The sequence below is a fragment of the Homo sapiens genome, chromosome 8 (genome assembly GCF_000001405.40).
Source record: "Homo sapiens chromosome 8, GRCh38.p14 Primary Assembly".
Taxonomy (NCBI): Eukaryota; Metazoa; Chordata; class Mammalia; order Primates; family Hominidae; genus Homo; species Homo sapiens.
The window spans coordinates 137,615,480-137,627,858 of NC_000008.11; positions in this window are offsets into that span (position 1 = coordinate 137,615,480).

Sequence of the window (12,379 nt, forward strand, 5' to 3'; positions counted from 1 at the left end):
GTCTCACATACAGGTCACACTGATGCAAGAGGTGGGTTCCCATGGTCTTGGGCAGCTCCACCCCTGTGGCTTTGCAAGGTACAGCCTCCAACATGGCTGCTTTCATGGGCTGGTATTGAATATCTGTGGCTTTTCCAGGTACATGATGCAAGCTGTCAGTGGATCTACCATTCAGGGGTCTGGAGGACAGTGGCCCTCTTCTCACAGCTCCACTAGGCAGTGCCCCAGTAGGGACTCTGTGCGGGGGCTCTGATCCCACATTTCTCTTCTGTACTACTCTAGCAGAGGTTCTACATGAGGGCCCCACCCCTGCAGCGAACTTTCGCCTGGGCATCCAGGAGTTTCCTTACATCTTCTAAAATCCAGGCGGAGGTTCCCAAACCTGAATTCTTGACTTCTGTGCACCAGCAGGCTCAGCATCACATGGAAGCTGTGAAGGCACGGGGCTTGCACCCTCTGAAGCCACAGCCTGAGCTGTACCTTGGCCCTTTTCAGCCATGGCTGGAGTGGCTGGGACACAGAGCACCAAGCCCCTAGGCTGCACACAGCATGAGGACCCTGGGACTGGCCCACGAAACCACTTTTTCCTCCCGGGTCTCTGGGCCTGTGATGGGAGGGGCTGCTGTGAAAGTCTCTGACATGGTCTGGAGACATCGTCCCCACGGTCTTGGGGATAAACATTAGGCTTCTTGCCACTTAAGCAAATTTCTGCAGCTGGCTTGAATTTCTTCTCAAAAAATGGGTTTTTCTTTTCTACTGCATTGTCAGGCTGCACATTTTCTGAACTTTTATGTACTGTTTCCCTTTTAAAATGGAATGCTGTTAACACCAGTCCAGTCACATTTTGAGAGATTCGCTGCTTAGAAATTTCTTCTGCCAGATACCCTAAATCATCTCTGTCAAGTTCAAAGTCCCACAAATCTCTAGGGCAGAAGCAAAATGCCACCAGTCTCTTTGCTAAAACATAACAAGAGTCACCTTTGTTCCAATTCTCAACAAGTTCCTCATCTCCATCTGAGACGACCTCAGCCTGGACCTTATTGTTCATATCAATATCCATTTTTGCCAAAGCCATTCAACAAGGAGGTTCCAAACTTTCCCACATTTTCTTGTCTTTTTCTGAGCCCTCCAAACTGTTCCCAGCTCTGCCTGTTACCCAGTTCCAAAGTTGCTTCCACATTTTTGGATATCTTTTCAGCAATGCCCCACTCTGCTGGTACCTATTTACTGTAATAATGCGTTTTCACGCTGCTGATAAAGACATACCTGAGACTGGGAAGAAAAAGAGGTTTAACTGGACTTAAAATTCCACATGGCTGGGGAGGCCTCAGAATCATGGTGGGAGGCAAAAGGCACTTCTTACATGGCAGTGGCAAGAGAAAAATGAGGAAGAAGCAAAAGCGGAACCCCCTGATAAACCCATCAGATCTCATGAGACTTATTAGCTATCATGAGAATAGCATGGGAAAGACCAGCCCCCATGATTTAATTACCTCCCCTAGGTTCTTCCCACAACACGTGGGAATTTTGGGAGATACAATTCAAGTTGAGATTTGGGTGCGGACACAGCCAAACCATATCACATGAGTGAATGGACGCAGGTTAGGAATGGAGAAGGTGCTTTCCTAGATATGGAAACTGAGGGTAATAAGAGGAAGATGTTGTGCTTGGCATGGTATGAGAATCTACTACGTGCCAGACCTAAATGCTTTATGGGCATTGAATCATTTCCTTCTTGCTATGATTTGAATGTGGCCCCTTTGAAATTCAGGTGTTGCCAATGTGGTATTAACAGGTGGAACAATTAAGAGGTAATTTAGCCATGAGGGCTCCTGGCTTGTGAGTGGAATTAAGGCCCTTATAAAAGCAGCTCCCATAGCATTCAGAGAGTTCACCCTCCAACCTTCTGCCAGGTGAGGAAGCAGCCATCATCACTCCCCGTGGAGGACGCAGGAGTAAGGCACTGTCCTGGAAGAAGAGAGCAGCCCTCACCAGACGCCAAACCTGCCAGCGCCTTGGTCTTGGACTTCCAGCATCCAGAACTGTAAGAAGTATGTTTCTGCCCTGTATAAATTACACAGTTTGTAGTATTTTGTTATAGGAGCACAAATGGACTAAGACAATCCTCATAATAACCGTCTGTAGCAAGTTTCATTGTTGTCCGCGTTTGAAATGTAAGACAGCTGAGGAGCGGGGAAGTTATTTATCCAGTTGCAAAGACACTCTGCTGTAGAGGCGGGAATCGATGCCAGCCTTCTTAACGCTGGACAGTTGTGTCTTAAATAGACACAACAATATCAGATCAAGAAAAAATGAAATGAAACACAAAATCAGTAACCCACATAGAACTAAAATCATCAAGATTTTACGCCTTTTTTTCTCTTGCATTTCCGCTTGTCTTGCAAATGTATTACGTATTTTTGACAAATTGACAACAACAATGCCACTGGTTTGAATTGCCTTTATTTAAAGTAGCGATGTCACACTTTCTTTTATGTCAACTGCACAGTATTTCTCCTTTTTATCTGATCTATAGACCACTTAGGCTACTATAAGATCCCATGATTACCATCTCTACCCTTTTCCAATTTTGATGAAGGAGGGAAAAATAAAAAACAGTAACTCAGGCTGGGCGTGGTGGCTCATGCCTATAATCCTAGCACTTTGGGAGGCCAAAGCAGGTGAATCACAAGGTCAGGAGTTCAAGACCAGCCTGGCCAACATGGTGAAACCCCATCTCCCTTAAAAATACAAAAATTAGCCCCGTGTGGTGGTGCACACCTGTAATCCCAGCTACTCGGGAGGTTGAGGCAGGAGAATTGCTTGAACCCAGGAGGCGGAGGTTGCAGTAAGCCGAGATCGCATCACTGCACTCCAGCCTGGGAGACGGAGAGAGACTCTGTCTCAAAAAAAAAAAAAAAAGGTAACTCAATAATGACGCAGACATAGGAAAAAAATGAATGGGACAGAGAGCCTTTGTTAAAAAAAAAAACAAAACAGTAATGGTACAAGAAGAAGATGATCAACAAAATTAAACCTAACCATAATCTACCATATGTGTTAATGACTACCAAAATAGCAACAATAAAAATTCTCAAGAAACTCAAGACAGTGCAGATGACGTGCTTCAGAACAAAATTATGAGAATCCCAATTATCTTTGATTATGTATGCACAGTAGGAAGTATGCAATATTACAGACAAAGTGTTGCATGGCAACCATTTTTTTGTTAGAATACTAAATTATAATCTTGAGGAAATTCTAGTTATACAGTAATTTCAGTTTTAAAATATCTAATATTAGTCACTTTTAAAGACAAATTATATAAGGTTGCTAGAAAATTAATCATTAACACATTAGAATATTAGTTTCTGGAATTGTCTGTTGGCTTCCTGTAAAATACATAAACAATGTGTGCATTTTTGAATTTTTTATCAGTGCATAAGAGAATCTAGTATCATGACCCACCAGCGGACATTCACAACATCATTTAAGTCCTAGTGTTAAAATAATCGTTTTAGAAAAACACACACTATATCTCTATCATATTGTTTTTATTTGATCTGACTTCACTTGGGCGGGACCAGAGTTTAGCTGGAATACTATCAGACCCGTTTTGGGATTGAGGGTTGAGCCTCTACCTAATGCCCACATAGTTTCTTATCAATGATGTTCTAAAGTCTCTCATAGCCATGCCTGTTATTTCTTATGCATACTCTCTCCCAGAATAGACTGCAGGTGATTTAATTGAGCTCAGTTCTGTCTCTGTTTATCTGATGATGTGGGTGGAAGAAAGGAGGAACGTAGGCTTCTTCATATCTCATAAACTGGATCTAAATGCTTCAGAGTCCAGAAAACAAGTTACCAGCATGCTATATAAACTCTAACTCTGCAGCCAGACTGTGTTCAAGCCCAAGTTCTAGCCAGGTGTTTTCAGAGCCCCCGGGTAAACTGAGGTTCCAGCAGCAGAGCAGCTAGCAGCCCTGCTAACAGGAGATGAACAGCTAGCTAACAGGAGATGAACAGCTAGCTAACAGGAGATGAAGGCGAGCTGGACGTGGTAGTTACACAGTACCTCCCATGGGATACTTCTTTTACCTGCTGGGCAGCCAAATGCCTAGTTGTCCAACCTATGCACATGTGTTCTTCAGGTGAGAAACCTGCTGATACTGGCAGATGTTCTTGGGGCTCTTGTCTGATCCCTGTCCAGTGTCTGCCTGCCTTACCACAGCTCTGGTGCTGATTGCTCAACCTTGCGTTGTCCCTGGTGTCATGGGGAAAACCCAGCCTGGGGCAGCCCCTAGTTCTTCAGGTGGAAGGTGCACATTTAATCCACAATAGGAAACAAGTTCAAAGACTTTTACTTAAAGATCCTGGCCTAGGAGGGCATAATGAGTTGGGAGGGCGGTCCTTTCATGGAGCAAAATTATCTTGGTTTATTGTGTGAATTTGTAGTTGGTTTCTAAACAGTCATGTTGACATCTCACTTTATTCAACTATTTGTCTCATCAGTCATCATCTTCCCTCCCTCTGTCTCTTCCTCCCTTTCTTCTTTCTTCCTTTCCTTTCTCTCTGCCTTCCTGCCTTCCTTTTTTCTTCCCTTCTTCCCTTCTTTCCTCCCTTTCAGGAATATTTATTGAGCACCTACTTTGTCTCAATACTGTTGTTAGATATCCATCATCATTTAGTGACTCAGTGGTTGTTGAGAATTAATCAGAATACTGCTGGCTATCAATTACACACATAGAAAATATAATATAAATTCAGAAAAAGTTACAAAGTCATTTATCTCCCAGAACATTAATAAAGTAGAAAATACAGAACACTGGTTTGGGGGCAAAGAATGATGATTTTAAAATGCTTTCATTGAAAATGGTAGCAGATAAGAGAAGATGCTCCCGGGGAAATAGTTTGTATTTTGTTGAATTCCATTTTGAAAAGAATGAGTGGTGATATGAAAGTTCCTATGTTTTTACCTTGCTGTATGAGAAAAAAAAATAGTAGGCTAGTATGAAAAGGCAATATCATCACTCTGTTGGTTTTGCACAAAAAACTTTTATTAGCTTTGTTTGGTTTTGTTTTTCTGCCTACAAAGAATATTACATGTAATTTTTAGAAATTTAGGGAAAATCGGAAAAGCGCAAAGAAGGAAACAATTTATTTACACCTAGAGCACAGAAGTAAATACTGATAACGGCCCAGGCTCAATTCTTCTGTCTTGTATCTATGCATATTATGCACGGGAGGACTTTTTTATGTTATGACATTTTAAAGACTTCGTGTCATTTGCTATACTTTGAAATCAGCTGTTTCTATTTAATATTATAACTTAGAAAAAATATTATTTTTTAATGAAATTTTGGGTTGCTACACCCTTTGTTGTAGTGAGCTGGCTTTAGAGGGCTCTGGTCTTCGGTTCTGGCCATTTCTGTCTTGGTCCCAAATCCTCTATTAACCATTTGTATTGCTTTGGGAAAGTCCCTGCCTCTCTTTGGATATCTATCTCATCCACTGTATAAAATAAAAAGATTGGAATTAAATGATGTGACTTACAAGCGCTAGTGCTCTAGAATTTTCTAATTCTTCATCAGTGCAACGTCTCCCCCCAGTGCCATCGGAATCCTGGGAGCCTGTGGAGAGGAGCAGGACCCCGTCCATTCCAGTGATCCCTGAAGGCACTGAGGAGGAGAAACATCAGTCCCTCTGTGGCTTCTCTTTATTCATTACTTTTTCTTTCTGCTCAAAACATCCCCAGATCCTGCTCAGGCCCACAGAAAGGGAGTAAGCCACTGCACCTAGCAACATTTTTAATCTTAGCATATATTATCTGTAGTGCTTCTACAAAAATAAAGTCTTTTAAGACAAAACAAAAACAAAATCTCCATTTGGGACAATAACTGCCTTTTTTCAGGACTTTAAATGTTGCATAGAGAAGGGACATAGCAAAATTGCCCCAATGCAATGACATGTTTTCCATCAATGGCTCTTTGGCTTTGACGAAGTCATCAACCTCCTGAAGGGCAGCATCATCCTAGGAGCACAGAACTAGTCTGGAGTTCAGTGGATGTAGGTGCTGTGTGAGTTTGAGAAATTCGCTGAACATCCCTGAACTAAATCGTAATGTATCACATTGTAATAAAATATGTCTTAAGTACATCATCCTTATTATTTTACTTGGACCTGGAAGGCAGAGGTTGAAATGAGCCAAGATCATGCCACTGCACTCCAGCCTGGGTGACAGAGTGAGACTCCCTCTCAAAATAAATAAATGAATACATAAATACATAAATAGTACAGTGTCGCCAAGTGGGAAGTAATGTGAGAATTTTTTAGGAAGACAGACTGAGGACATTTCATAAATATTAAGCATGGCTTAATATTAGGAGCTAAGTTAGGTGTTAGAGGCACAACAAATACAAGATAAATATGATCCCTGTCTTCACGGAGCTTGCAGTCTAGGGGAGGGTGAGTACTAAGATGACCAACAATAAACAATTAAAAACAACTATAATTACAAATTGAATTTTTTCTATGAAAGAAATAACTAAGACTACGAGTTCAATGGATAGTCAGGAGATGTCTCTAAGGCGATAATATTTGACTCATAATCTCTGAGGAGTCAGCCACAAGAATAACGGGAGAAGCTTCCAAGTAGAAAGATCAGTAGGTGCAAATGTCCTGAGATGGAAAGGAGGTTAAGGAAGTGTTGGTGGTTGGAACTTCATGAGGGAGTGTATGGGGTGCCAAGGCACAAACAGCTAGGAGATAGGTCAAGGAGGGCCAAGATTCCAGGTTTGATTTGATTATAAATATGATAATAATGATATTGATAATGATAATTGTAAAGATAATTAAAATTAACATTTACTGAGTTTTACTCTGTGCCTTAAGCACTTTACATTCTTTAACTTATTTATTTGTCACAACTATCATATGGGACTACTACCATACTCTTTATTTTACAGACATGTAAACCGAGGCACAGAGGCAGGAAATAACTTGCCCTAAATTACATGGATAGCCATGTAAAGTTAGCAAAATGTTTTATACAAGAATAGCCTAATTTGATTTACTTTTAAGAGGATAATTTTGATTGCCATTTGTAAAAATATTAGAGGAGGGTGAACATATAATCCGTAATTTTTAAGAGCATATTACAATAGTCAAAGAGAACAGGATGGCTTATACTAGGATTTTGGTAGAAAAGATAAAAAGAAAAGGGCAGATTTTAAATATATTCTGAAACAAAATTAGCAAAATGTTGTAAAGGATCAAATGTGGGAGATAAAAGGAGAGAAATTAAAGACCATTTGAATATTTCCCACTTGACCAATTAGACGGAAAAAACAACGTGCATTTCTTGAGTTGAAGAGTTCTGGGCTAGAAACAAACAAGGGGCTAAGGCAATCAGAGTGCAGACTTAGACTTATCATTGTCCTGCTGTGGTTTGCAAAAAGGTGGCTCCTTTGTTAACAGAAAGTAGTTGAAGAGAGTGAGCCATCAAGAACATGATTCTAGATTATCTTCCATGTAAAAAACAGGGAGATGCTAAGACAGAGGAGGGATGAATAGATGTATAGCAGGGTATATTAGATACAATGTCTCAAAAGTACAGTAGTCTCAGCCTCTCCCTGCAAGTCTTTCTATTTTTTCTCTCTTTTAAACACATATGCCTACACACATACATATGCAGTAGAAATTATTTACGGTGTGTATCAGCATGTCTGGAAGGGGGCTGTGGGGTTTAGATCAGCTGGGTGAACACAGCGTAAGGCATCTAGGAACTGGCATCCACATTTGTGCAAAAGTCGTATGGAAAACCACAAAACTGGTCCAAGTTCAGTGAGGCCCTAATCAGCAATCTGGGATTTGGGCCAGGGCTCCAGTCCCTCACTTGAGAAACTGGAAACAAGACAGAGGCCAGAATCAAAGCAGCTTGCTCTCCTTTGGAATGTGGCATGTTGAGGTGGAATTCAGCTATGCAGGGACACATTGCTCAGAGGTCTTCCCTGGAGCACTGGAACCTGGATCCAGCTGGATGTCACCAAGGCTCTGGCCTGAACGCAGGAGCTCATCTTGAGTTTTACGAGTCTATTTATCAGAGAGGCCTTCCTTGAAGCGAATTGATGTGTGTCCTCAGAGCTCTCTCCCCACTTTTTTTCTTCCCTGAGAATGGCACTCGTCACATTTTGCTGCAACTACATAAAACCTGGTGAAAGTATAACATTCATCAAAATAGACTTTTCACTGCTATCTCTTCAGTTGATAGCACAGCGTCTGAAACATGCAAAACCTACAAAATGTGGGTCGCTGAGTGGATGTTACTTCTTATCCAAATTCACTGTAAATAAGTGTTGGTATCACATAAACATGAAGACTTCTCCGAGTATCCATTTGAAAATATTCATAATTCCATTAAAATTATATAGCCTGCAAAAAACATTTCCTAAATTATGATGAATGTCCCAAGTTATCTTTATCTGAGTTTCCCAGGATGGCCATAACAAAGCATCACAAACTAAGTGGCTTAGAGAAGAAGGAACATTTTCTCTCACAGTTCAGGAGTCTGCAAGTCTGAAATAAAGATGTTGGCAGGATCGGTTTCTTCTGGAGACTCTGAAGGAAAATCTACTCCATTCTTCATTTATATCCTCTGGTGGTTGCTGGCATTTTTATCATTCCTTCGCTTATAAATGCATCACTCCAGTCTCTGCTTTTATCTTCCCTCTGTGTCTGTGTCTCCTCTGGGTCCAACTATCCTTTTACAAGGGCATTCGTCAATGTATTAGGGTCCATCCTAATCCAGTATGACTGCATTTTAACTTGATTACATCAGCAAAGACCCCTTTTCCAAATGAGATCACAGGAACCAGAGATTAGTACTTCAACATATATGTTGGAAGAACACATTCAACCTACAACATAGTTCTTTCAAATGGCTCTGGGATGGCGTGGAGTGAGAGTTTTTGTGATGAAAGACTACTTTAAGAAGACGCTTATCTTTTTTTCTCCCTTTGCATGAGACTAGCCCCCATGCTGACCTTTTGCATAGTTGGTCTTTATTAAATATCCAGCTCCTTAGAATAGCTGAAGAATTTTATTTATGGGAGGTTCCACTTTGGGTGCCATAGTTTAGAAAGCACCATTCCCTGTTCCCTGCCCTGGAGGAATAGAATGTCCTCCTTTCATGAGGGCTTCTGTATTAGTCAGGGTTCGCTAGAGGACAGCACTAATAGGGTAGATGTATATAAGAAAAGGAGTTTATTAAGGAATATTGACTGACATGATTATAAGGTGAAGTCCCACAATAGACCGTCTGCAAGCTGAAGAATAAGAAAGCCAGTCCAAGTTCCAAAACCTCAAAAGTAGGGAGGCCGACAACGCAGCCTTCAGTCTGTGGCCAAAGGCCCTGGCAAACTACTGGTGAAGGTCCAAGAGTCTAAAAGCTGAAGAACTTGGAGTTCCATGTTCAAGGGCAGGAAGCATACATGCCCTTCCAGGTATCCTTCCTCGTTCCTCTGCCTGCTTTTATCCTAGCTGCACTGACAGCTGATCAGATGGTGCCCACCCAAATTGAGGGTGGGTCTGCCTCCCCCAGTCCACTGACTCAAATGTTAATCTCCTTTGGCAACACCCTCACAGACACACCAGGAACAATACTTTGCATCTTTCAATCCAGTCAAGTTGACACTCAATATTCACCATCACAGTTTTCCAGACCACTGGCTTCTGCAAGTCAGCAGAGGGAAATCCAGCTCTAATCAGCAGGAGAGGGGCTGCGGAAGGGCGCCACACAGTATTTAACCCCATTTCTCTCCTCCGTTATCATTAGGCCAGTGTCTGGTTAACTGGGAGTCTCAAGACAGCATTTTTTAATAGATGCATATTTTATCTCACCCCAACTAGCTCTTTGTTATGCAAATAAGCACTGTGTACTTTGTTTATGTTTCAGCTAAATCAAAGAATCTTTTGGCAGGAACTGCATTCTTCCAGCAGCCATATGCTGTTGATTAATCACACATAATAGGGAGTTATTGTATGGAGTAAAGCAATTTCATACCAATCACTACCCATTATTTAATATCTTTTTGACACATTGTCTCATTTTAGTATATCATACCTTTGAAAGGAGTGGGAACAGAACAGAGAGATAGAGAAAGCGAAGGGGACGGAAAGCGGTTATGAGGAAGGATGAGGGGACTGCAGGGCAGAGAGGGAGAAAGAAAAGCATCCAAAGTTAAAACGGTAGGAAGAAATAAGAAGTATATTACATGGGTTTGAAGGAATTTCATAACTGAACAAGTCGTTCAGCAAATAGCGCCACCCTGTGGATTAGAGTTCTATGACACCTGAAAAAATAAACATCACAGGGAAGGCAGGGCAAGGCACTGGATTACCAATGTTATTCTTAGAAGCATCCAAATTAAAGTGAATCCCCTACCTGAGGATGGAGAGTACAGGGAAAGTTTCCAGCACAGGAGACATTTAAAATACATTTTGCAAGGCAGGTAAGAATCTAGTTCTTTGCAGGCTAAAAAGAGCTCCTCTGTATCCCACATGGACTCTGCATGACACAGGGCACAGGACAGCCATGCATTGTTTAGTTTTGTTTTTTGTTTGTTTGTTTGTTTGTTTTAGAGATGGAGTCTCGCTCTGTCTCCAGGCTGGAGTGCAGCTGTGCAATCTCGGCTCACTGCAACCTCCGCCTCCCGGGTTCAAGTGATTCTCCTGCCTCAGACTCCCGAGTAGTTGGGATTACAGGAACACGTCACCATGCCCAGCTAATTTTTATATTTTTAGTAGAGATGGGGTTTCACCGTGTTGGCCAGGCTGGTCTTGAACTCCTGACCTCAGGTGATCCACCCTCCTTGGGATGGATCAGGCATGAGCCATTGCACCCAGCCGCATTGTTTAGTTTTTGCAGATAATTGTTTAAGGTAGGTATTATTGTTCCCAGATGAGACATGGAGAGTTTAAGTGACTTGTCCAAAGTCACATAGCCTGTAGGTCACAGATCGATGCAGAGCCATCCAAGCCTGGATGCTTTCCAAACTCAGCTTCCTCATCAATGTTCTTTCAAGGGTCCCCTATAGTAGGTTTTTCTTGGAGAAAGCCAGGTAAACAGGCTGGTGCGCCTTCAGCTTGAAGCTGCAGACCCTGGGCACACAGAGCCCTTGCTGAGTAAATGCATATGAAATGGGCTATGGGGATGTGTGGCTTCTAGCACACAGACTTGCCCTTCCGTAGTCTAAACTCAGTCTCATCTTCCCAGTGTCCACCCTTTCTTTACACCAGTGCCAGTTAGTTCTTTGAGAAAATAGTTCAAATCCTATCGATCGTCTTCTCAAAAACATCAAATGGCTTGGAATTAGTGGGTTGGGGCAGTGCTGGTGGAAAGGAACTCCTCAGTGTGCAGTGGAGCCCCTTTATAATGCAGCTTTCATAAACGTGTCTCTTTCACTTTTGCATTCTCACTCCAATCTCTTCACTCTAATTACTCTAAGAGTGCCCTGAGAGTTCCCATTTCTGAGCCGACACCTTCTTTCCCAAAATTATTATTTTTTCTGCTAGTTTCACTTGCTGTTGACATTTGTCTCTTCTTTTGAGCCTCACATCAGATGTCTCTGCCATTTAAAAGCCTTTTTTCTAATCTATCTGGAGTTAGCATGGTGTTCAGGTGTTAAGAAGAGGACAATAAATAGTAAAATGAAGAAGATGGGGAGAAGACTAAGAAGAAAAGACAATGGCTTCATTAATTAGTTTTATTTGGATGCTTTTGCTTGGTTTTATTTTTTTTTTCTCTTATAAGGAATTCTGAGATAGAGAATATAGAATTGGTGCAACAAAACCACGTCGTCCTGGATATTGAAGGATGGAGCCTTCTGTCTAATACACTCATTATGCTCAGTGTGTAGCTTTGGTCTACACAGGAATCCTTTGAACTATGTTAGATCACGTCACTTCTTTGCTGAAAAACCCTCCACAAGCAGATCTTCACTTGCTCAATCACAGGAATCCCCAGTGTTTAATACAGTAAAGTTGGGGTATGTGGGAGCTCTTCTTGGCAGGCAAAGATGTAGAGTCTCACTCGTCGGCAGCCCCTAGCATCCTGCAGTCCCCTGGCCTCCCTCACTCAGCCACTCCAGACACATCTGCCTCCTCAAAGAACCACAACTCTACTAGCAGATATTCTCTCAACTAGCCTAATATCTCATGTTCTTCTCATTTCTCATGGAAGTTCATTCTAATTCCTTATTAGCGTTTTGTTGTGCACCTAGGAAAAACATTAGATGCTTTATGAAAATGGTTTAGGAAGATCCAGAAAACAGCATGTCAATCTTTTGATTGCTCTAAATAATATCATTATTAGCACAGTTGA